Below are 23,468 nucleotides of genomic sequence, written 5' to 3' on the forward strand. Positions count from 1 at the left end.
ACCCATGATGTCCTTTCCGCTACCCACCTGCCACGAGCCCCAGTTCTGAGCTGGAGGGGTGGGGGTGGGTGGAAGGTGGATAGTGGTCAGTGCCTCACCTGGCCGACTGCAGCCTGGCAGAGTCCATGGGGGACCTCGCAGCACAGTGGATCCTCTTGCCTTGTGTCTCTAGTTGGTCCAGCTCTGGTCTATTCCATGCTATTCCGTTGTCATGGGCAGGACTGGGTTTGATGAAGTTGGACCTAGGTGTATCCCAGCCTCTCCTGGTTTCTGTCGTCTTTCTGTGGTGCCCAGGGCTTATGTTTCTATCTCTTTGAATGTTGAGTTTACTCCGTCCTTCAGGGATCAGGGCTGCCTGAGCTCAGGGTGGAGGTGCTGTTGTCTGTCTGGCTTCCGGGCCCTGGACTGGCAGTGTCCCCCAGCACCCCTGTCCAGCTATGCCAAGCCCCCTCCTTTTCTTTCTTGGCCTCTGCCCTATTTGTTCTGTGACTGGCCCAAGAGAGGGGTGTGGGCTGGCAGGTGTCCCACATAAAGCCTGGAGGCAGCATCCAGGCCTGGCTGACTTACCCCGGGGCCCCCTGCCTACTGCCCCCAGCCAAGCTGGGTCTCCTTCTTCCTGCCCAGCTGAGGCAGGGCCTAGAAGGGCACCGAGGCAGGCCCTCTGTGATGCTCCTGTTGCTATGGTAATTCTAGATGAGAAGGCCATAGCATTCTGTGTCTGGCACCCCCGCGCATCTCCCCAGCTCTGCCCTGCTGCCCCAAGAGATGGCTCTCTGCTGGGGAGCTCGAGAGCTTGGAATCTGCTGCAGTCAAAGTTTCTTCCATGCGGCCAGGCACAGTGGCTCATGCCTGCAATCCTAGCACTTTGGGAGGCCGAGGCGGGTGAATTACTTGAGGTCAGGAGTTCAAGACCAACCTGGCCAACATGGTGAAACCCCATCTCTACTAAAAATACAATACTTAGCCGGAAATCACTTGAACCCAGGAGGCAGATGTTGCAGTGAGCCAAGATCATGCCACTGCACTCCAGCCTGGGTAACAAAGCGAGACTCCGTCTCAAAAAAAAAAAAAAAGTATCTTTCATGCAGGCCCCATCCTTTGGACCTCCCTTCAACCCCAAGAGAGACCACTACCCTAGCAGGTAAGACTCTACCTCTCAGAAACTGACCTTTACTGTAGAGCTGATAGTGGGAAAGGGCTCAGGATCCAAAATCAAAAGACCTAGATCCTAGTCTCAAGCCATTTATAGCTGTGTGACCTTGGACAAGGCAGGCCTTGAGCTTCAGTGTCCTCCTTTGTAAAATGTGGATAAACATGCGATACTGAATCATCCTTCAGGAATAGCTCTATGACTTTCCGTAGGTTGTTCCCCTGATGTGTAATGCTCTTCCATTCTTCTCAGCTCCATGAACTCCTACTCATGCTTCAAGACCCAACCGAAATGCCCCATTGTCTGTAAAAATTTCCCTGACCTCTGTGCACTTGGCACAGATCTTAGGCCTTGCCATTCTGTGTTAGAGTTGTTATTTAAGTGTTTCCAAATTTTTTGACTATGAATACGTACAGGCAGGAATCAGATTAGGCTCAGTTCTGGAAGGAGAAATGGTTTGGCGAATATTTTCTTTGCGGAACGGAAAGCAGAAGAGGGCGACCTTGACTGGGTTGGGTGCCATCTCTGCAGGGGTCAATCCTGGGACTCTTGTTCCAGGCATGGCTTGGGTCAATCAGCACTCATGACTTTGCTGTGTGCCTGAGCCGTGCCTGGCTAACTGGGGACATTTTCATAGCTGAGACCCAGTAGGAGAGACCATGACTTGTGCCAGGGTGTGCCTGTCTCAGCTCTGGGGCAGGGCCAGGAGCAGCTGCTCATGGGATGTCTCTGGGGACATGCTGGGGCCTCTGGGAGGGGAAGGGAGACTGGCCATGCACTGTCTATGGTCCTGGTGGTACTCCTGGGATATTGCCAAGGAGCCTGCGGTTCAGGGAACAGGGAGGAGGGACTCTAGTGTCTCCAACTCCCTCTCATGGCTCTATGGCTGCTGGTCGGGGTCAGGGAGATGAAGCAGTGCCAGCTCCGTGGTCTGCACTGATCCTGACCAGTGAACCAGGCTTCCCCAGCCAGAGCCAGCTAGTCAAGCACGCTCTCTAGTGGCCACCACAGGGAAGGCAAGAACTTGTCTCCACAAAGGCAGGATTTTCATTTATTCCTTCAGAGAGTACAGAATGAGCATCAATGTTCCAGGCATGGTGCCAGGCATGTGTGTTAACTTTAGTTAAAACATACTTATTGGCCGAGTGTGGCGGCTCACTCCTGTAATCCCACCACTTTGGGAGGCCTAGGTGGGAGGACTGCTTGAACTTAGAGCTCAATACCAGCCTGGGTAATGTAGTGAGACCCTATCTCTATAAAAAAAAAAAAAATAGCTGGGTGTGGTGGTGTGCGTCTGTAGTCCCAGCGACTTGGGAGGCTGAGATGGGAGGATTGCTTGAGCCTGGGAAGTGGAGGTTGCAATGAGCCAAAATCACACCCATTGCACTCCAGCCTGGGTGACCTTGTCTCAAAAATATAGTTATATATTTACTTATATATTTATATGTATAAATATATGTGTACATACAAATATATTTGTAATATTATAGACATATTAATACATATTTACATATGTTAATATATAAATATATATAATATATATTTATCATCTTCTAAATGGAAAGCTCTTGAGTTTCAGGATGTGTTGGTTGGGAAGGGAATACAGGATAGGGAAATAATCCATTAAGCAATGACTCAGCACAGGCCATAAAATCAGAATCACCTGGAGAACTTGAACAATCCCAACACCTGGGGTCCATCCAGACCAATCAAATCAGAATTCGTAGGGGTCAGGCACAGGCACCAGTGGTTTGGAGAGTTGACGGACACATGTCCCATCCATCATTCTCATTCGGCTGCCAAGGTAGGCATCGTTGTCCCATTTTGCATATGAGGAGACTGAGGCTGAAGTGAACCTGCTTCTTTCCCCATATCAGTTGAGGACAGCGATGGGGCAGCGGGGAGGCAGTAAATACTCCTACAAGGCTGCCTCTAAAGAGAGTCTTATAATAACAACAGCTTTATTGTTTGCCATGATTAGAAAAGTATTCAAGGTCATTGCGAAATAGTGTTTTTTTTTCTAGGCAGATAATTATATAAAGGCAAAAATGGTGTGTGGGGGTGGGGGACAAGGGGAGGGAGAGCATTAGGACAAATACCTAATGCACGCAAGGCTTAAAACCTAGATGATGGGTTGACAGGTGCAGCAAACCACCATGGCACACGTATACCTATGTAACAAACCTGCACATCATGTATACCTATGTAACAAACCTGTACATTCTGCACACGTATCCCAGAACTTAAAGTGAAAAAAAAAGTGGTGTGTAGAAAAATCACCTGCAATCTCAGCATAGTTAACGCTTAGTACATTTCAGAGAGAGAGGGTGACAGGAAAGGGAGGATGAGAGTGGGTTTAAGACACAAGGTCATATTATAAAATCAGGGCTTCTGGAAGTTTAGTCCCAAAACCACACATCTCATAATCCCCTGCAGTGCTTGATTAAAATGCAACATCCCTAAGGCCACAGACTCAGACTCTGGAGAAAGATCCAGAAAACTGCCCGTTTAATAAACATTTGGGCGATTCTTACGGCCTCTAAAGACCAAGAACCACTGCTGCCTAGAGCTCTGCTCTCTTCATTGAACAATACAAGAGGAGTGTGTAGGTAGACACCCACCACTTCCAACAGCTTAGGAGAGCCCTTGAGTATGGATTGATGTATTAAAATTTATTGAATCACATGCTGAGATTTTCACCAGCTGCCCGTGGGGATCTGGGCATTTATTCCCATATTGCACTGGCTGGCTGGAAGCCAGCAGCATAAACTCCAGGGCTGTTCTGTCAACCCCCACCAGACTCACCCCCCTCCACCAGCCCCGGCAGGCTTCTCCTTCCATCTCTCTGAAGCAACTTACTGATGGGCCCTGCCAGCCAATCACAGCCAGAATAACGTATGATGTCACCAGCAGCCAATCAGAGCTCCTCGTCAGCATATGCAGAATTCTGTCATTTTACTAGGGTGATGAAATTCCCAAGCAACACCATCCTTTTCAGATAAGGGCACTGAGGCTGAGAGAGGAGCTGAAACCTACCCGGGGTCACCACACACAGGTGGCAAGGCTGGGACCAGAAACCAGGACTGTTGACTGCAGCCCGGTATTCATTCTTTCCATAGCCCACAGGGCTGTCAAAGACCCCAGGGCCTAGTCAGAGGCTCCTCCTTCCTGGAGAGTTCCTGGCACAGAAGTTGAAGCTCAGCACAGCCCCCTAACCCCCAACTCTCTCTGCAAGGCCTCAGGGGTCAGAACACTGGTGGAGCAGATCCTTTAGCCTCTGGATTTTAGGGCCATGGTAGAGGGGGTGTTGCCCTAAATTCCAGCCCTGGTCTCAGCCCAACACCCTCCAAGAAGAAATTAGAGGGGCCATGGCCAGGCTGTGCTAGCCGTTGCTTCTGAGCAGATTACAAGAAGGGACTAAGACAAGGACTCCTTTGTGGAGGTCCTGGCTTAGGGAGTCAAGTGACGGCGGCTCAGCACTCACGTGGGCAGTGCCAGCCTCTAAGAGTGGGCAGGGGCACTGGCCACAGAGTCCCAGGGAGTCCCACCAGCCTAGTCGCCAGACCTTCTGTGGGATCATCGGACCCACCTGGAACCCCACCTGTGAGTACAAGGTGCCCCAGGTGGACTGGGCTGGGGCTTTGAGGCCTTCAGGGTTGGATGGCCATCTTGCGTATTTGTGTGGGATATGCACACACAGGCAGCACATGCGCAGGTGTGTGGGCACCTGTGTGTCTGTGCAAATGCCCTGAGGTGGGAATGAGCTTGGTGTGCATCAGGCACAGCCAGCCAGTGTGGCTGCAGCAAAACACACAGGGAAAGAATGGAGGGGGCATCAATCACTGCTTCAGTAAATTTTTATTGAGCGCCTTCTACGAGAACACAAGAGGAGCTTCCATTCTGAGGAGGAAACAGGCAGGAAACAGGCAGATATCCTGTATAATTTCAAGTAGTGATAAGTGCTCTCTAGAAATATCAAGCAAGGTGAGGAGACACAGAGCACCGGTGGCAGTGGGGCTCTATTTCCAGGTTGGATGGTTGGGAACATCCTTTCTAAAGGGAACCTGGAGTGGGAAGGAACCATGCAGGTATCTCAGGAAGAGCTTCCTCCAGGCAGGAAGATCAGCAGGTGGAAAGGCCCTGGAGCCACCATTCAGTAAACATCATTTGAGCATCTCTACCAGCTAGGTTCCATTATGGGAATGGGAATATGGTGGTGGACAGGGCTGCCTGGTCCCTTCCATACTTCTCACACTAGGGTGGTTGAGAGAGCTTGGGAGCTAACGAACAAGATGGGCTGAGAACACTGCCTAGCCCAGAGGACCTGAGCTTAGTGTGTAGACATTGCTGCTGTTACTGCCTTTGTCATTGTATTATTTATTTATTTATTTATTTATTTTTAGACAGAGTTTTGCTCTTCTTACCCAGGCTGGAGTGCAATGGCGTGATCTCAGCTCACTGCAACCTCCACCTCCTGGGTTCAAGCGATTCTCCTGCCTCAGCCTCCTGAGTAGCTGGGATTACAGGCACCCGCACCACGCCTGGATAATTTTTTTGTATTTTTAGTAGAGACAGGGTTTCACCATGTTGGCCAGGCTGGTCTCGAACTCCTGACCTTAGGTGATCCACCTGCCTCGACTTCCCAAAGTGCTGGGATTATAGGCATGAGCCACTGCGCCCAGTGATTATAGAAAGTTAAAGGCACATGGCAATGCACACGCCTATCTACGTCTTCCCTGCCAAAGCAAAGGGCAGCCTCTGGGCTCACTTTCTTGCGTTTCTACTTCCAAAAGGCAGTCAGAACTGGCAGGGCCTTGGAGACCACTTCATCCACCTCCTAGGGTCCCTATGGGAGAGTTGAGGTCCAGAGCAGGGAAGGGTCCTGACAGGCTCTGACCAGGGCCTCTGATCCCTACAAACCCCCAATCGGTGTCCCTCTCTACCAGGACCCAAGCCCACCTGCTGCAGCCCACTGCCTGGCCATGACCATCACTTACACAAGCCAAGTGGCTAATGCCCGCTTAGGCTCCTTCTCCCGCCTGCTGCTGTGCTGGCGGGGCAGCATCTACAAGCTGCTATATGGCGAGTTCTTAATCTTCCTGCTCTGCTACTACATCATCCGCTTTATTTATAGGTAAAGCTGGCAGGGCTGGGCCGGGGGGCCTGGGAAGGATGTGGCTGGGGCTGGGAGCTCCTGGGGGCCTCCCAGCCAGCTCAGGGGCCAGTGTACCAGTTCACTACAAGACTAAGCTGAGCTCCTGACCAGGTCCTGGGCACTGGAGCTGAGGCTGGGGCTGGGGGCTGGGGAGAGAAAAGAAGTCAGACTGAGAGGCTGCTCAAGCCAGGCCAGCAGGGTTTTAGCCACCCTTCCTCCAACCCCAGGAGGACCCCTGGAGCCCAGGCTTTGTCTGGCCCCACTCAACTGGCCTGTTTTACTGAATCCCACACAGACTCATAGGCCCACATAGTACATTAAAAAAGAGAGAGAGAGAGAGAGAGAGAGAGAGAGATGGAGTCTCACTGTGTTGTCCAGGCTGGTCTCGAACTCCTAGGCTCAAGCAATCCCCCTGCCTTAGCCTCCCAAGGGGCTGGGATTACAGGTGTGAGCTACTGCACTTGACCAACCACATGGTACTTTTTTTTTTTTTTTTTTTTTTTTGAGACAGGGTTTCACTCCATCACCCAGGCTGGAGTGCAGTGGGGGCAATCTTGGCTCACTGTAACCTCTGCCTCCCAGGTGCAAGCGATTCTCCTGCCTTAGCCTCCTGAGTAGCTGGAATTATAGGCACACACCACCACGCCTGGCTAATTTTTTTTTTTTTCTGTATTTTTAGTAGAGACAGGGTTTCATCATGTTGGCCAGGCTGGTCTTGAACCCCTGACCTCAAGTGATCCACCCACCTCGGCCTCCCAAAGTGCTGGGATTACAGGTGTCAGCCACCATGCACAGCCCACATGGTACATTTTTTAAAATTATTTTTTAATTAAAATGTTTATCTAAGGCCAGTAGCAGTGACTCGCGTCTGTAATCCCAGCACTTTGAGGGGCCAAGGTGCGGGGATCACTTGAGCCTGGGAGTTCAGCGTGGGCAACATAGTGAGACCCCGTCTCTACCAAAAATTTAAAAAATTAGCTGGGAGTGGTGGCATTTGCCTGTGGTCCCAGCTACTTGGGAAGCTGAGGTGTGGGGATGGCTGAAGCCTGTGAGGTCGAGGCTGCAGTGAGCTATGATCACACCACTGCACTTCAGCCTGAGTGACAGGCTATCTCAAAAGCAAACAAAATAATGTTTATCTAAACAATAAAATATAATCACAGAATATATGATAGCATTTTAAATTGAAAAAGCATTAATGATTACATGGATTGTAAAATATCAAATACATGAAATTCTTGTGTTCTTAATAATGCTAGCAACAAGGCACATTTGGTTTTTACTAGGGCACCAAGGTACTTTAAAAAAAGTTAGGGCCAGCCACAGGGGCTCACACCTGTAATCCCAGCACTTTGGGAGGCCAAGGCAGGAGGATCACTTGAGCCCAGGAGTTTAGGACCTGAGCAACATAGGGAGATCCTGATCCTGTCTCTATAAAAAATTAAAAAATTGGCTAGGCCCTTTGGCTTACACCCGTAATCCCAGCACTTTGGGAGGCCGAGGCGGGTGGATCATGAGGTCAGGAGTTCAAGACCAGCCTGGCCAACATAGTGAACCCAATCTCTACTAAAAATACAAAAATTAGCCGAGTGGGGTGGCACGCACCTGTAGTTCCAGCTACTCAGGAGGATGAGGCCGGAGAATCGCTTGAGCCCGGGAGGCAGAGGTTGCAGTGAGCCGAGACCATGCCATTGCACTCCAGCCTAGGTGACAGAGTGAGACTCCGTCTAAAAATAAAATAAAAATCAAAAAATGATCTGGGCATGGTGGCTTATGCCTGTAGTCCCACCCAGCTCCTCAGGAGGCTGAAGCGGGAGGATTGCTTGAGCCCAGGAGGTTGAGGCTGCAGTGAGTCATGACTGTGCCACTGCCCTTGAGCCTGGGTAACAGAGCAAGACCCTATCTCAAAACAAACAAACAAACAAACAAACAAACAAAAACCAATAAACCAAAAACATTTATCTAAACAATAAAATAAAGGACAGATATAATCACCGAATATATGATAGCATTTTAAATTGAAAAAGCACTAATGACTACAATGGATTATAAAACATCAAATACATAAAATTCTTAAGTTCCTCCTAATACCAAATACAAAGCACATTGGTCTTTGGTTTTTACTTGGGCACTAATGCATGCTGAAAAAGAGTCAGACTTCATTTTTTAGAGTAGTTTTAGGTTCACAGCAAAATTGAGCAGAAGGTAGAGTTCTCATGTGTCTCTTTGCTCCTCCCCCTGCCCCCAGCCTCCCCACTATCAACACCCCCACACTACAGTGGTAGATTTATTACAATCCCTGAACCCACAGTGACACATCACTATCACCCAAAGTTCATAGCGTACAGCAGGGTTCACTCTTGGGCTGTACATTCCATGGGTTTGGATAAATGTGTAATGATGTCTCCACCATCACAGCATCAGGCAGAGTAGTTTCACTGCTCTAACAAAATCCTCTGCCTATTCACCCCTCTCATTAAAGCCAAACACTCTGTTTCTTTTTTTCTTTTTAGAGACAGTGTCTCGCTCTGTCACCCAGGCTGAAGTGCAATGGCAATCACAGCCCATTGCAGCCTCCAACTCCTGGGCTGAAGTGATCCTCCTATCTCAGCCTCCAGTGGCTACGACTGCAGGCATACGGCAACGGCACCCAACTAATTTTTTGTAGAGATAGGGTCTTGCTATGTTGCCCAGGCTGGTCTTGAACTCTTGGTCCTGCCTTAGCCTCCCAGAGCTCTGGGATTACAGGCGTGAACCACCGTGCCCGTCCCAAACACTCTGTTTCGACCTGCTTTTAAACAACTGACCCTTGGCTGCATTCAAAGGATCAGGGTGTCTGAAACTGGCCTCTGCAGCAGGACCTTCCTTCCTACACATCTCCCAGTGGCCAGTGTGAGGATTCTCCCCACAAGAAACCACTGGAGGGGGCCTCCTCCTGTCCGGGTTTGGGGCTGTACAAGGAGCATCATGGACCTGGCTCAGGCCTCAGGAGGGGCCCTGGGCTGGGGAAAATGTGGGATAGCATCGAGGCAGTCCCACTCCTACCCAGGGCCGGGCTAGACCTGGGGACAGTCTCAGCCATCTCCTCGCTGCGTCCACACAATTCCACCCCCACCCCCACCCCCAGGCTGGCCCTCACGGAAGAACAACAGCTGATGTTTGAGAAACTGACTCTGTATTGCGACAGCTACATCCAGCTCATCCCCATTTCCTTCGTGCTGGGTGAGTTCCCCCTTCTGGCTGTTCCGGGTCCCTGTGGCCGCCCAGGCTCCAGACAGGCCAGGGGAGGATCACGAGGAGCTGCGGCAAGGGGCTGGGGAGGGGGCGGGGGAACGCCAGCGGCAGGTCGGCGCCTCTCTGTAGGGAAAGGTGCGGACTGCAGCCAGTGAAACTGAAGTTAGACGTTAGGTAAGACGTCCTGCCGTTAGCAATGAAAACCCCATTTTCTGAGGGAAGCGCTGACATCATGGTCCCTGGAGCCCCTGCGCGGGAGGGGAGGGGGTCTGGCGGATTTCTGGGACCAGCAGGGGGACCCCCGGGTGACAGAACCCTTGGGGCTCTCGCGCCTCCATGCGAGGCTCTGCCTGCCTCTCGCTCCCGAGCGCCTTCCAGGAGGGCTGGGGGCTAGGCCCGCTCGCAGCAGAAAGCTGGAGGAGCCGAGGCATCGCCGGGCGCTGGGCCCTGGGCTCTGGCCGCAGCCTGGCCCCTCGCCCCTCGCCCCCCGCCCCTCCTGCCCAGGCTTCTACGTGACGCTGGTCGTGACCCGCTGGTGGAACCAGTACGAGAACCTGCCGTGGCCCGACCGCCTCATGAGCCTGGTGTCGGGCTTCGTCGAAGGCAAGGACGAGCAAGGCCGGCTGCTGCGGCGCACGCTCATCCGCTACGCCAACCTGGGCAACGTGCTCATCCTGCGCAGCGTCAGCACCGCAGTCTACAAGCGCTTCCCCAGCGCCCAGCACCTGGTGCAAGCAGGTGGGCGGACCGGGAGCAACGGGGAGGCACCGGGCAGAGCCAGGGGCCGAGATGGGCGCGGCAGGAATGGAAGATGGGTGGAGCCAAAGTCCCCCGGACTCGGGGGATTGGGTGGAGCCAGGAGTGGGGTGTAGTCAAGATTTGGGGGTCCAATTGGGCGGGACAGAGTCGGGTGTCTGAAGGTGGGGCGAGGCCAGGAGCCCACCCTCCGAGAGTAGGAGTCTGAGGCAGGGCTAAGGACCCTTGAGGGATAATGGAAAGAAGGGTGACGGCTTGGGAACTGGTGAGGTACTAGGGTCTACTTCCCTCTGCCCTTGCCCCTCTTGATCTCCGGTTTCCACTCTGGAGGTATGGGACATTGGTCTCTGACACCCCCTCAGCCTGGCCTGACCTGGTCCTGGTTAATAAGACAGACCCAGGCTAGGCGTGGTGGCTGTCGCCTGTAATCCCAGTGCTTTAGGAGGCAAAGGTGGGAAGATCGCTTGAGCCCAGCTGTTTGAGACGCCCCTGAGCAACATAGCGAGACCCCCATCTCTACAAAAACATTAAAAATTAGCAGGGCATGGTGGCGTGTGCCTGCAGTCTGAGGCTGAGTATCGGGAGGCTGAGGCAGGAGGATCACTTGAGCCCAGCAGTTCCAGGCTGCAGTGCGCTAAGATCGCACCGCTGCACTCCAACCTCGGTGACAGAGCCAGACCCTTTCTCTGGAAATAAATAAATACCCTGCCCACATGCTCAGCCCAGAACAGCACCTAGTAGGTGCTCAGAAATTTTTTTGTTGTTGAAAGAAAGAGGATGGCAAAGGAGTGCTGAGGTTCCTATAGGTCAGCAGGTGCCGGCCATCCCTTCTGCAGGTTCTCCCACCCACCGCCTTCTTCACTCCACTCTGCAGGCTTTATGACTCCGGCAGAACACAAGCAGTTGGAGAAACTGAGCCTACCACACAACATGTTCTGGGTGCCCTGGGTGTGGTTTGCCAACCTGTCAATGAAGGCGTGGCTTGGAGGTCGAATCCGGGACCCTATCCTGCTCCAGAGCCTGCTGAACGTGAGCCCACTGTACAGACAGGGCTGCCGCAGAGTGGGAAGGGCTGTGGTCCACAGGAAACAAGGTTTCCTACAAAGAGAAGCCTTGGGCCCCTGAGGGTCTTCCGAGAGCCTGAGGTGGGGTTGCAGAATCTTTTCCAACAGCAATCCACAGCCCGAGGTGGTCCCTTCTCAGAGGCCCCTCCCTCTTCTCCAAGTCTGTGAGGTCCTGGTTCCCTTTTGATAGATGAGGAAGCTGAGACACAAAGAGGTTTAGTGAGCTTCCCATGGCCACACAGCCAGGAATGGACCATAGGTACCAGGCCCTGGTACCTGGAGAAGAGGTGGGGGCGAGCCCAGGGTGGGGGCAGGTGGTGTTCAGAACCCCATCCCCCTCTTCTGCCCCCCAGGAGATGAACACCTTGCGTACTCAGTGTGGACACCTGTATGCCTACGACTGGATTAGTATCCCACTGGTGTATACACAGGTGAGGACTAGGCTGGTGAGGCTGCCCTTTTGGGAAACTGAGGCTAGAAGGACCAAGGAAGCAGCTGGGGTGGGAAGGGCTCACCTAGAGGCTAAGTGGCTCCCCTGGGAGTTGGGTCCACACTTTGAAGTTGGGTCTGGACTTTGAAGTGCCAAGTTCTAAGAGTCCAGGCTCCTGCCTGGCCCAGTCCAGTAGAGGCAATGTGATTATCCCCATATTAAAGAGAGGTTGGCCGGGTGCAGTGGCTCATGCCTGTAATCCCAGCACTTTGGGAAGCTGAGGCAGGTGGATCACCTGAGGTCAGGAGTTCGAGACCAGCCTGGCCAACATGGTGAAACCCCATCTCTACTGAAAATACAGAATTAGCTGTGTGGTGGTGCACGCCTGTAATCCCAGCTACTTGGGAGGCTGAGGCAGGAGAATCGCTTGAACCCGGGAGGTGGAGGTTGCAGTGAGCTGAGATCATGCCACTGCACTCCAGCCTGGGCGACACAGCAAGACTCTGTCTCAAACAAACAAACAAACAAACAAACAAAGGGGTTAACAGAGCCCCTAAGTCACATAAGTGTGCAAGTCAGAACAAGGCCTTGGTCTCCTGTCTCAGACTCCCAGCCCCTGGAGCATCCTGATTTCAGGGTTCCCACCTAGCCCTTTGCTACCACATCCTCCTCCTCCTCCCAGGTGGTGACTGTGGCGGTGTACAGCTTCTTCCTGACTTGTCTAGTTGGGCGGCAGTTTCTGAACCCAGCCAAGGCCTACCCTGGCCATGAGCTGGACCTCGTTGTGCCCGTCTTCACGTTCCTGCAGTTCTTCTTCTATGTTGGCTGGCTGAAGGTGGGCCTCTCCAGGGCCCTGCTGGGCTGGAGGCATGGCCAGAGGGGTCATGGCCAGCAGCTGCCTGAGACGAGGATGCAGTGTCAGGAAAGGAAGGTCTCACGGGTAGAAAGCAGCCAGGCGTGGTGGCGCACACCTGTAATCCCAGCTACTCGGGAGGCTGAGGCAGGAGAATCGCTTGAACCCGGGAGGCGGAGGTTGTGGTGAGTTGAGATCGTGCCACTGCACTCCAGCCTGGGCAAAAGAATGAAACTCTATCTCAAAAACAACAACAACAACAAAACAAAGCCCTAAGGTTCAGAAGCCCCTGCCCTTTAGAAGGCAGATCGGCACCACCTCTCCTTATTCAAGATGCCTGTTGGGCTGTCTTGTTCCTCACCTCAAGTGGCTTGTCCAGGTATTCCCTCCCACCACAGCCAATACTCCGAACAGATGTTCTGAATCACACAGTTTTCTCTCCACCTCTTTATCTTTCCTTCCTTCTGTTGCCCACCCACTCTCTCTCCCTTCCTACCTTCCTTTATTTTTTGGTAATGGGGGTGTAAGTCTCTGTCTCTGCCCTTCCTGTCACTGTGACACACACACACACACACACACACACACACACATACACACACACACACACGCATTCCTATTCCTCTAAATTCCCCCTGCCCCCCCAGTTATCTTTGGTTTCTGCAGATCAAAACAAATCACACTTTTATGCTTGAAATTCTCCGGGGTGCCCCAGTGGCCTGCAAGATGTCCCCTGGACCCCTAAGGCAGACGCGTGTCACCTCTTCGGGGCTTTGTTAGGGCATTTTAGAGGTTGCTATCCAGGAATCTGCCCACCTAGACTGCCCTTTAGTTCAGCCCAGCTTCAGTATATATCTCTGTTGCATGAATGAATAAAATTATGCAACTCCAGGTAAGATACATGAGGTGAGATAAAGGCAGTGACTCAGCCGAGTGATACACTCAGGGACAGCTGTGGGTGTTCAGGGAAGGACTGGCTCAGAAGAGTTAGAGGGGCTGTGTCCAGAAGTGTGTGGGTGCCCACAAGTGTGGGGGGCTGGAGCCCTAAACTCTGCCTTTGAAGACAGTGGTCAGGCAGGAAGGGCGTCATGGGGTGTGGAAATAGCAGCAGCTGAGGTTTAAAGGGGGAAGCTGGCTTTGAGGAGTTCTGCCTGAGGGTTTACAGAGCCTCACCTGTCCCCAAGGTGGCAGAGCAGCTCATCAACCCCTTTGGAGAGGATGATGATGATTTTGAGACCAACTGGATTGTCGACAGGAATTTGCAGGTATGGGGAGAGGGAGAGAAACCATACCATGGACCTTCCCCAAAGTGGACCCAAAGAGAGGACCCCACTGTTCTGTAGGGAGGCCTCACAGTGAATGATCAACCCTTCCCCTCCTCCCTCCTGCAGCCAGTCATTCACTCACAGGATTCTCACCTCAATCTTTGAGGCTGCAGGCAGGCACCCATCTCCCCATTTCACAGGCAGGGAAACTGAGGTCCAGAGAGAGGGAGAGATTCCTCCAAGTCATCAGGCACATACAAGGTCCTGCCTGGGATGATCTTTCTGTGGGACTTCTTCTGTCCCTGGTGACCAGGTGTCCCTGTTGGCTGTGGATGAGATGCACCAGGACCTGCCTCGGATGGAGCCGGACATGTACTGGAATAAGCCCGAGCCACAGCCCCCCTACACAGCTGCTTCCGCCCAGTTCCGTCGAGCCTCCTTTATGGGCTCCACCTTCAACATCAGGTGTGGCCAGAGCCAGGGGGCTGGGTGGGAAGCCCCTCCTAGTGCAGGGGTCTGCCTAGGAACTTAGAATAGCACTAGTTAATGCATACAGGTTGCTTCAGTAAGTGTCAGGCACTGTACTATGCTCTTTATAAACATTAACTATTTTTTTCCTCCCAATAATTCTGGTTTGTTATCCCAAGTTTTCAGATAATTAAAGTACAGGTTCAGAGAGAGTAAGTTGTCCAAGGCCACATAGCTACCAAATGGTGCATTTGCTACTCGAAGGACAGCCTGTGATCAGTGATGCAGTGGAACGTTAGGACCTGGCTCTTGTCATCCAGAACTATGTTTTCTTTTCTTTTTGAGACAGTATCTCGCTCTGTCGCCCAGGTTGGAGCGCAGTGGCGTGATCTTGGCTCACTGCAACCTCCGCCTCCTGGGTTCAAGTGATTCTCCTGCTTCAGCCTCCCCAGTAGCTGGGATTACAGGTGCCCACAACCACAACTGGCTAATTTTTGTACTTTTAGTAGAGATGAGGTTTCACCATGTTGGCCAGGCTGGTCTCCAACTCCTGACCAGTAATCTGCCCGCTTTGGCCTCCCAAAATGCTGGAATTATAGGTGTCAAAACTATGTTTTCTGATAAGCTACGATGCTTGGATGGGAAGTGGAAGTGGGGTTCCCTGGGATGGGGGAGGGGCAGCAAAGTCCCAGCAGGCAGCCAGGCCATCACAGGTACCTCCTGAATTGACTTTGTCCTACCGAGTAAAGGGCTCAGGCCACCCACAGCAGCCAGACTTATCCCCACATGGTCCCACTTCCCTGATTCCATCTGAATCCCTCTTGAGCTGCAGTGGGCTGAAGGGCTATCCCAGCTGGTCCTTTCTCCCCAGGACAACAGAGTTGAAAGTGCCTTGGAGAGTGTTGGGCACATGTCAGGGTTCATACTCAAGGGTTTCTTCCACGGTATCCAGTGCTGTTCTCGCTTGTTCTTTTCTTTTTTTTTTTTTAAACGGAGTTTCACTCTTGTTGCCCAGAGCTGGAGTGCAGTGGCATAATCTCGGCTCACTGCAACCTCCGCCTCCCAGATTCAAGCAATTCTCCTGCCTCAGCCTCCTGAGTAGCTGGGATTATAGGTGCCAGCCACCAAGCCCGGCTAATTTTTGTATTTTTAGTAGAGACAGTTTCACCATGTTGGCCAGGCTGGTCTCGAACTCCTGACCTCAGGTGATCCACCCTCCTCAGCCTCCCAAAGTGCTGGGATTACATGTGTGAGCCACTGTGCCTGGCTGCTTGTTCTTTTAAGAACCAAATATCCTACTAGACTGCAATCGAGTTTAACTACAGTCTATAGATAGTGTGAGGAAGGGTTGGGAAGGTGATCAAATGAAGGCTGGAGGCTTGCTTAGGTCAGAAACATTTCTGGAGGATGACTTTGAGCCCTACATGGTCTGTACCCCAGCAGCTGAAGGTTGTTGAGGGGTGGGGAGGGCTGAAAACAGAACGATAAAGCATAGACCTTGTCTCCAAGGAATGCACAATTTATGGAGGGAGCTCAAACCCAAGCCTCAAACTCTGGATACAAGGTACAAAGTACTGGATGTCCAGAAAAGGGACAGAACATGGAACACAGTCATCTTTGTCTGCCTGGGAGGCGGCTTCCAGCTGGGTCTGGAGCTGAGCCATGGAACATGGGAAGAATCTGAACTTGGGCAAGGGCAGGCCATACTCTCTGGTAGATAAGCTTTCCCTTGCAGGGTAAAGGTCTGGGGCTCCCGGGATGCCTGTTGCTAGGAAGTCAAATTTCTCTTTGTGGATGTCACTCCCAGTTGGAACCACAAATTCCTGGCATTGCCCAGAGTCACTCATGGGCCTCATCTGAACCACTCATGCCAGGGCACCAGTGTTTCTGACTGCCTGGAGTGAGGGGTTTTACAGGGGAAGTGAATGATGAGGAGGCCTTTACACGCCAGGCGGGGTGGTTGCGGGGGTTGGATGTTAACTCTGGTCAAGAGGGAATCAACAAACAGTGAGGTGAGCTGGGCCTGGAGGGATCACCGGGAGGTACAGGACAGATCAGGAGAGAGGTGAGAGCTGGGGCATGGTGAGGAAGACGGTGTGGCCTTGGCTTGGGCCAACTGAGAGAGAGGAGCGGGGGTAAGGGAGAAGTAAGGCCAGGTGTTGGTCCTTTGTCCACTGGCTCAGCCCTGCATCTCCTGTTTCTTTCCAGCCTGAACAAAGAGGAGATGGAGTTCCAGCCCAATCAGGAGGACGAGGAGGATGCTCACGCTGGCATCATTGGCCGCTTCCTAGGCCTGCAGTCCCATGATCACCATCCTCCCAGGGCAAACTCAAGGACCAAACTACTGTGGCCCAAGAGGGAATCCCTTCTCCACGAGGGCCTGCCCAAAAACCACAAGGCAGCCAAACAGAACGTTAGGGGCCAGGAAGACAACAAGGCCTGGAAGCTTAAGGCTGTGGACGCCTTCAAGTCTGCCCCACTGTATCAGAGGCCAGGCTACTACAGTGCCCCACAGACGCCCCTCAGCCCCACTCCCATGTTCTTCCCCCTAGAACCATCAGCGCCGTCAAAGCTTCACAGTGTCACAGGCATAGACACCAAAGACAAAAGCTTAAAGACTGTGAGTTCTGGGGCCAAGAAAAGTTTTGAATTGCTCTCAGAGAGCGATGGGGCCTTGATGGAGCACCCAGAAGTATCTCAAGTGAGGAGGAAAACTGTGGAGTTTAACCTGACGGATATGCCAGAGATCCCCGAAAATCACCTCAAAGAACCTTTGGAACAATCACCAACCAACATACACACTACACTCAAAGATCACATGGATCCTTATTGGGCCTTGGAAAACAGGTCTGTCCTCCACCTGAACCAGGGGCACTGCATTGCCCTGTGCCCCACCCCAGCTTCCCTTGCTCTGAGCCTACCCTTCCTCCACAATTTCCTAGGGTTCCATCACTGCCAGAGCACACTGGACCTACGCCCAGCACTGGCTTGGGGTATATACTTGGCCACCTTCACAGGGATCCTAGGGAAGTGTTCGGGACCTTTTCTCACTTCACCCTGGTATCACCCGGAAGACTTCTTGGGACCAGGTGAAGGAAGATGAGGTTGTGCTGACCAGAATGCTGCTGGAGAACTGCCCCAGGGCTGACAGGCCAGGCTTAGCTGAGCAGATGTTATCACTGGCCCCAACTTACTTTGAGCAAGGGTGGCTGACCCAAAACCATGAGGTGGCAGTCAGCTGGATGACAGATGAACACTTCCCCCATAACTATTTAGGGTAGTACCCAAGCACTACAGGAAAGGGTGGCAGGAACTGCCTCACTCCTAGGAACTGGTAGATGGTGAGGTTGAGGGTGTCCAGCGCCCTTAGGTCATTTTCTCACTGCCTGGGAACCTCACCAAAATACTTCTTGCTTCCTTGGGGTCAGCCCAAAGCTGTCACAAAATCAGATATTTCCCTTTATTCCAGATTTCCTGGACACTTTCACCCAATTATAAACACCCCACTTCAGCCCCAATCACGTGGGAGGAAGTGTAACTTCCCTTTTCTGGATTCTCAAGCAGTTACTTTCACGGTCAGAACACGCAGCTATTATGATTGAAAACTTAAAAGGGCAACAATTTCAGTCTTGCTTCTAGGGCTAGACAGGAACTTGGCAAACATCTGTGGCCTGTTCAGCAAAGGATGTTAATATTTAAGAATCTTGTCTTGGGCTGGGTGTGGAGGCAAGTGGATCACAGGAGGTCAGGAGTTTGAGACCAACCTGGCCAACATGATGAAACCCCATCTCTACCAAAAAAAATACAAATCAGCTGGGCGTCGTGGTGTGCCTGTAGTCCCAACGCAGGAGGTTGAGGGGAGAATTGCTTGAACCCAGGAGGTGGTGGTTGCAGTGAGATTGAGCAACTGCAATCCAGCCTGGGCGACGGAGTGAGACTGTCTCAAAAAAAAAAAAAAAAGGATCGTCTCAACCTTTGCCCTCCTACTGCAACATTTTGGTATTTGAAATGAAGGGACCTTCCATACTTATGCTGTTAATACTTTCATTCTCACTAGGGATGAAGCACATTCCTAACCTGCTTCCTAATGGGGATGCTTCGCCAGCCAGGTCCTCACCTGTGTGTACACCAGCAGGACACTGATCCAGTCACAGCCATACAGCTGTCCACACTGAAGAACATGTCCTACAACAGCCTGAATCAAATGGTTAGCTTAATAGATAAAAATCCCAGACTACTTCAGCCTTTAATGCCTTTTATTCATAAAAACTGTGAAAGCTAGACTGAACCATTGGAAACATTTAACTCAGACTCTGGATTCAGAGTCGGGAACCCTTAGTTCTATCTGAATCCAAGACAGCCACACCTTAGTATACTGCCCAAACTAATGAGTTTAATAAATACAAATACTCGTTTCTTTTTGATTAGTGTGATTAGAACTGAACAACGGCACTTAAGGAATCTGGAAGATAGCCTGGATAGATTTCTGATTCATCCCAAGACCTCAAAGACAACACCTGGGTACCAAATTTCTTTATTTGAAGGAATGGTACAAATCAAAGAACTTAAGTGGATGTTTTGGTACAACTTATAGAAAAGGTAAAGGAAACCCCAACATGCATGCACTGCCTTGGTGACCAGGGAAGTCACCCCACGGCTATGGGGAAATTAGCCCGAGGCTTAGCTTTCATTATCACTGTCTCCCAGGGTGTGCTTGTCAAAGAGATATTCCGCCAAGCCAGATTCGGGCGCTCCCATCTTGCGCAAGTTGGTCACGTGGTCACCCAATTCTTTGATGGCTTTCACCTGCTCATTCAGGTAATGTGTCTCAATGAAGTCACACAACTGCAAAACAATGGGGAAGACAGTTAGTGGGCAGCTTTCCCAATCCCTAAGGCAAATGATTTCCTCCATTTATTTCCTGGGGTTCCAATACTCACATGGGGGTCATTTTTGTCAGTGGCCAGTTTGTGCAGTTCCAGTAGTGACTGATTCACATTTTTTTCCAAATGTAATGCACACTCCATTGCATTCAGCCCGCTCTCCCAGTCATCACAGTCTGGTTTCTGAATGAGAATAGGTTAATGCATCTCTACCAACTAACCTAGAAGTCAGCAAGCCCATCATCTCTAACCACCACGTTTTGGCAAAAGGGACATTACTATTTGCCTAATTTAGTTTAGATGGTAAGCCTAAAAAAGCACAAAAGGCAAAAGCCCAGTGTATCATCACTTTATAAGGGCAATTGCTAGTTTAAGTGATTTCTGATACCCGAACACTGCCAGATGATGAAGTATGACACCCCTAGGATCTTTTGTTCACCTTGATATCCTGAAGGAAGATTCGGCCACCTCGTTGGTTCTGCAGCTTCATCAGTTTCTCAGCATGTTCCCTCTCCTCATGAGATTGGTGAAGAAAGTATTTGGCAAAGTTCTTCAAAGCCACATCATCGCGGTCAAAGTAGTAAGACTGAAAGGGGAACACTGAATGTGTTATACTAGGGATCCCCAGAGACAGGTAGCTGTGACGATCTACAGGGAGGCAAGATGGTCTCGTCAGCCTAGGCTTCCTTTCTCAAAGCACAGCATGAAGGAATCAGTGCCTAAGGAGACTGGGGGGCAGATGAGCTACTGGATTGAACCCAAGAGTAATGTTTCTATTCTAAAATAGAAAACTGAAACTTGATCCTTGAAACTTAACTTCAAGGAACCTTTAGGATATTATGGGCATTGCCTGGGGCAATGTCTTAAGGATCTGTATTACTGCACAGAAAACTTACAGCCAGTGTCAGAATTCATTGTCTGATGAGAGGGCGCTGGAGTACTGACCCTGCACTTAGTCCTTTTCTCCTCCCTGCTCCTGTATTAACCATGTTAAAGCATGGTTAAAACTGAGCTCAGGAGTCTGCCAGCTGTACCACATATTTATTTATAAAATTAAAAACCCCTGCTGGGTGCGGTGGCTCAGCCTGTAATCCCAGCACTTTGGGAGGCCGAGGCAGGCGGATCACGAGGTCAGCAGATCGAGACCATCCTGGTCAACATGGTGAAACCCCGTCTCTACTAAAAATAAAAAAAAATAGCTGGGCGTGGTGGCGTGCGCCTGTAATTCCAGCTACTCAGGAGCCTGAGGTAAGAGAATCACTTGAACCCAGGAGGCGGAGGCTGCAGTGAGCCGAGATCGCGCCACTGCACTCCAGCCTGGGCGACAGAGCGAGACTCTGTCTCTCACACACACACACAAATTAAAAACCCCCATGCAAGGTGGCAAATGTGGACAGTATGTTGATGTAAACATACTTTTATAATAGTTATATCACAAAAATTTGATTTTCAGTTTTAGACATTTGATGTAGTCAAGTGTTTGTGAAAGGCAGTGACAGTCACAGAAATACAGGCCTGTTTTCAAATCCATTTGGAACACATTTATTCTTGGGATAGTTTGGACAATCACAAGGCAATTCTAAGGAAGACTCCCACGACACTGCCTAAGACCAAGATTTGGGAAAACTGATTCCACTGATCACTGAAAAATTTCTTGCCCAGTAACTGTCGGTGGACTTTATCCAAGAACTGGGGGTTCAATTAGTAGGCCAAACTCCACACCTCTTACAGTAAGATACATAAAAGATAAATTAGGTCCCCTAGGCGCAAGGTCAGGTGACACTTCGGTGACTGCAGAAGGGGCGATTCCTAGAGATATGCTTCAAAGCAAGTGGGACTTAGAGATAAGCAGAGCCGAGAGGTGGATACGGCTGCTCGAGAGGGATCTACCCACAAGATAAGCCACCTCCCGCCAGCCCCCAAGGTTTGCTATTCGACACCGTTACCCAGCAGCTCCGCCACACACAGGCGGACGGGAGCTGGATACCTAAGCAAAAAACGCTGGCATTTAGGGCCAAATGCCGGAGGCAGAGGAAAAGATGGGAAAGCAAAACTCCACCTTCCTAACCGCAGGATTGATCACACAGGCTGGCAGTCTTGCAACCCCAGGATTTCAGGACACCAAGGTCTCCTTAAAAAAGAAGGGTGTGCAGAGGCGGCCCTGGCCTAGGAGGGAGCATTCTCAGGGTACAGCCGAGAAGAACCAGCTGCCCCGACTTTCTGCGCCAGAGAAGTCCTCGGAAACCTCGAGCAGCCTCCATTTTCCAGAAGGGCGCAGGGAGGCGGGAGAGCCCGCGGGTGGCCACACCCCCGGCCCGCCCCAGCGCGCGCCCCGGGAACCGCGCCCGGCCCCCGCCACCGCTTAGGCCCGCCCGCGCTCACCATGGACAGGTAAACGTAGGAGGCGTAGAGCTCCAGGTTGATCTGGCGGTTGATGGCGGCCTCTGAGTCCTGGTGGTAGTTCTGGCGCACCTGCGAGGTGGACGCGGTCGTCATGGCGGCGACTAAGGAGAGGCGGCGGCGGCGGCGGTGGCTGCGCGGCGCTGGAGCGGCGGCGGGGGCCTTGGGGCAGTCCGAGGGTGCGGTGAAGAGGTGACGGAGGGCTGGCTATGGGCGGCCGGCCGGGGTGGGGAACGAGCGCCGGGTTCCGTCCAAGCACTGTTGAAGCAGGAAACCCCGACGACTCTCGGCGAAGAACGTCTGGCCCTGCGGGTCGCTTGTGGTCTCTTATAGCCGCGTCGGCGTCAGGCCCGCCCCGGCCAATCAGCGCCGCCCGCCCCGAGCCCGCTCCTTCCGGTGGGCGCGGGACCCCGCCCCTGCTGTGGGGGAGGGGCGGCCGCTGGAGGCCCTCGCGCGCTCTGGCGGAGCTCGGGAGCGGGGACCGGTAGCCGACTGCCTCTGGGACAGCGGTGGCGTCTCTGTGCCCGTTTAGTGGAGTTGGAGGGAAGCTGCGAGGAGGCGCAGGAAGTCCACCTCAGAACCCCCCCCCCGGTCTAGGGGCGCCCGGGCGTTGGAACCGGCGGGGGAAGGGTGCGGGGGCGCATGGGGTGATCCTGATTCGGCTCCCATTTTCCCGAACGGGCACCCTGAGGCTCCTGGCCCGGGGCATGGTGTTAGAAATCATAGCTGCGGAGAAGCCCTTGTGACACCTTGCTGCAGATTGGGAAGCTGCAGATGATTGGGAAGGTGGAAGGTGGAGACGCGGTCCTTAGGTGGTCGAGCGCATTTTCTCTTCCTCAGAGTCCAGGAAGGAGCGCGATGGAGAAGTGGGGCGCACGGCGGGTTTCGGGTCCGCCCCTGCCCTTCCGACTCCTCCGACCACGTCTGCCTTTGGCTGAAAGCAAATATGGCTCCGTGTGCGGTTTCTGCAACAAAGGCTGGGCGGGCCGGGTTTCCCTAGGGATGGGGACCGCCTCCCCGGGGAGTCGTGGGGGTGAGCCACCGGGGCCTCCGAGAGAATCGCTGGTGTCGCTTCGCACCCAAGGGACACATCTCGGGTTAGAAAGGAGAAACGACGTGGATCTAAAGGCGAAGCCCATGCTGAGGACTTTTCAAAATGGCCTCTTATCGGCCCCACTCACAGGAGCTTCAGGCTTCGGTGGCCCTGTAGGACAACCCTGGGGTGTCATTGGAGAGAAGCTGACGGGGTTAATGGCGGGTGACAGGTGAAAGAGACCCCGGAGGGGTGGGGCCGGTGTGTGTGGCTAAGCTGAGTCCCAGGCACAGGGTGGATGTGAATTTATGGGTGGCAGAGCTAGAGCTAGGCCCTGCCCTTACCTAGGTCCTGGCTTCGAGGTCCACTGTTCTGTCGCGTCTTTTGACGCATCGGTGGAAGAACTGAATTTCAGGATGCTCACAAACCTGCAGCTGGAAGCTAGACTTCCAAACCTTAGTTTAAAAAAGCAACTCTACTGAAATACTAAAATAAATTGCCGACGGAATTAGGGTGATTTCTTGTTCACGGTTTCATTTAAAAATGCACCTATGTTATTTACAGGAAAAACGTTTTAGTGGTGCTAGAGCTACAAGAATAAGGTAAACAGAAGGATGCTGCTAGACCAGGAGTACCTTACCCAGTCTGGGATAGGAGGAGGTCGGGGAAGCCCTCCCTAAGCAAGACACGTGAGCTGAGTTTGAAGAAAAAGTTAAAAGGAAGGTGAAGTGCGGGAGAGAAACAGGGAAGGGAATTTGGAGCAGAGTGAACAGCATATGC

General features: G+C 52.2%; 3 protein-coding genes and 2 long non-coding RNA genes across 20 annotated transcripts in view, besides 6 other annotated features; 2 read left to right on the forward strand and 3 right to left on the reverse strand.

Annotated features, from left to right (window-relative positions):
- RAB3IL1 (RAB3A interacting protein like 1) overlaps positions 1-649 on the reverse strand; it is a 49,023-nt gene extending 48,374 nt beyond the window's left edge. Inside the window, exon 1 of the mRNA XM_011545197.3 lies at positions 99-649. Coding sequence (XP_011543499.1) covers positions 99-127 — 29 coding nt within the window. The 5' untranslated portion in view covers positions 128-649. The remainder of the gene's footprint in view (positions 1-98) is intronic.
- Positions 375-538: a silencer, noted in NCBI's record as "fragment chr11:61713521-61713684 (GRCh37/hg19 assembly coordinates)". NCBI's record gives its function as "represses an EF-1alpha promoter that drives an FKBP-Casp9 reporter gene in an ReSE screen in phorbol 12-myristate 13-acetate-treated (for megakaryocytic differentiation) K562 erythroleukemia cells {active_cell/tissue: K562(+PMA)}" and the evidence as "EXISTENCE:reporter gene assay evidence [ECO:0000049][PMID:32094911]".
- On the forward strand, positions 4,147-19,841 carry BEST1 (bestrophin 1). 16 transcript variants are annotated; one of them, NR_134580.2, is made up of 11 exons: positions 4,677-4,753; positions 6,097-6,284; positions 9,433-9,527; positions 10,044-10,277; positions 11,170-11,324; positions 11,713-11,790; positions 12,472-12,827; positions 13,824-13,904; positions 14,218-14,369; positions 16,581-17,219; positions 18,430-18,787. NR_134580.2 is itself a non-coding variant. In NM_004183.4 (11 exons), the coding sequence occupies exons 2-11, from the start codon at positions 6,133-6,135 to the stop codon at positions 18,446-18,448; spliced, it is 1,758 nt and encodes a 585-aa protein (NP_004174.1). In that variant the 5' UTR covers positions 4,677-4,753; positions 6,097-6,132; the 3' UTR covers positions 18,449-18,787. The 16 variants fall into 16 exon arrangements, 15 of the variants coding, with proteins under 15 accessions (XP_005274278.1, NP_004174.1, NP_001350521.1 ...); NM_004183.4 differs by having other exon boundaries at positions 12,472-12,624; NM_001363592.2 differs by having other exon boundaries at positions 16,581-18,787.
- On the reverse strand, positions 8,245-14,218 carry LOC107984334 (uncharacterized). Its single transcript, XR_001748245.2, has 2 exons — positions 14,058-14,218; positions 8,245-12,858 (listed from the first exon to the last, which is right to left on the reverse strand). It is a non-coding gene; the product is annotated as an uncharacterized LOC107984334 (long non-coding RNA).
- FTH1 (ferritin heavy chain 1) lies at positions 18,611-21,960 on the reverse strand. Its single transcript, NM_002032.3, has 4 exons — positions 21,638-21,960; positions 19,695-19,841; positions 19,313-19,438; positions 18,611-19,217 (listed from the first exon to the last, which is right to left on the reverse strand). The coding sequence occupies exons 1-4, from the start codon at positions 21,749-21,751 to the stop codon at positions 19,053-19,055; spliced, it is 552 nt and encodes a 183-aa protein (NP_002023.2). The 5' UTR covers positions 21,752-21,960; the 3' UTR covers positions 18,611-19,052.
- Positions 19,966-20,195: an enhancer, noted in NCBI's record as "active region_4806". NCBI's record gives its function as "activates an Ori minimal core promoter by ATAC-STARR-seq in GM12878 lymphoblastoid cells {active_cell/tissue: GM12878}" and the evidence as "EXISTENCE:reporter gene assay evidence [ECO:0000049][PMID:35858748]".
- Positions 21,487-21,686: a silencer, noted in NCBI's record as "silent region_3409". NCBI's record gives its function as "represses an Ori minimal core promoter by ATAC-STARR-seq in GM12878 lymphoblastoid cells {active_cell/tissue: GM12878}" and the evidence as "EXISTENCE:reporter gene assay evidence [ECO:0000049][PMID:35858748]".
- Positions 21,620-23,205, forward strand: LOC399900 (uncharacterized). Its single transcript, NR_187560.1, has one exon. It is a non-coding gene; the product is annotated as an uncharacterized LOC399900 (long non-coding RNA).
- Positions 21,957-22,306: a silencer, noted in NCBI's record as "silent region_3410". NCBI's record gives its function as "represses an Ori minimal core promoter by ATAC-STARR-seq in GM12878 lymphoblastoid cells {active_cell/tissue: GM12878}" and the evidence as "EXISTENCE:reporter gene assay evidence [ECO:0000049][PMID:35858748]".
- Positions 22,827-22,896: an enhancer, noted in NCBI's record as "active region_4807". NCBI's record gives its function as "activates an Ori minimal core promoter by ATAC-STARR-seq in GM12878 lymphoblastoid cells {active_cell/tissue: GM12878}" and the evidence as "EXISTENCE:reporter gene assay evidence [ECO:0000049][PMID:35858748]".
- Positions 23,017-23,066: an enhancer, noted in NCBI's record as "active region_4808". NCBI's record gives its function as "activates an Ori minimal core promoter by ATAC-STARR-seq in GM12878 lymphoblastoid cells {active_cell/tissue: GM12878}" and the evidence as "EXISTENCE:reporter gene assay evidence [ECO:0000049][PMID:35858748]".

Source organism: Homo sapiens, chromosome 11, assembly GCF_000001405.40.
Source record: "Homo sapiens chromosome 11, GRCh38.p14 Primary Assembly".
NCBI classification, from domain to species: domain Eukaryota; kingdom Metazoa; phylum Chordata; class Mammalia; order Primates; family Hominidae; genus Homo; species Homo sapiens.

What these genes read in the sequence shown, in the direction of transcription:
- BEST1 (NM_001440571.1), top strand. Translation starts at nt 6,133, where the DNA reads ATGACCATCACTTACACAAGCCAAGTGGCTAATGCCCGCTTAGGCTCC. An exon ending in ATCATCCGCTTTATTTATAG is followed by an intron (nt 6,285 to 9,432) that starts GTAAAGCTGGCA and finishes CCCCACCCCCAG; the next exon opens with GCTGGCCCTCACGGAAGAAC. An exon ending in TCCCACTGGTGTATACACAG is followed by an intron (nt 11,791 to 12,471) that starts GTGAGGACTAGG and finishes TCCTCCTCCCAG; the next exon opens with GTGGTGACTGTGGCGGTGTA.
- FTH1 (NM_002032.3), bottom strand. Translation starts at nt 21,751, where the DNA reads ATGACGACCGCGTCCACCTCGCAGGTGCGCCAGAACTACCACCAGGAC. An exon ending in CCTACGTTTACCTGTCCATG is followed by an intron (nt 19,842 to 21,637) that starts GTGAGCGCGGGC and finishes TTCCCCTTTCAG; the next exon opens with TCTTACTACTTTGACCGCGA. An exon ending in TCTTCCTTCAGGATATCAAG is followed by an intron (nt 19,439 to 19,694) that starts GTGAACAAAAGA and finishes ATTCTCATTCAG; the next exon opens with AAACCAGACTGTGATGACTG.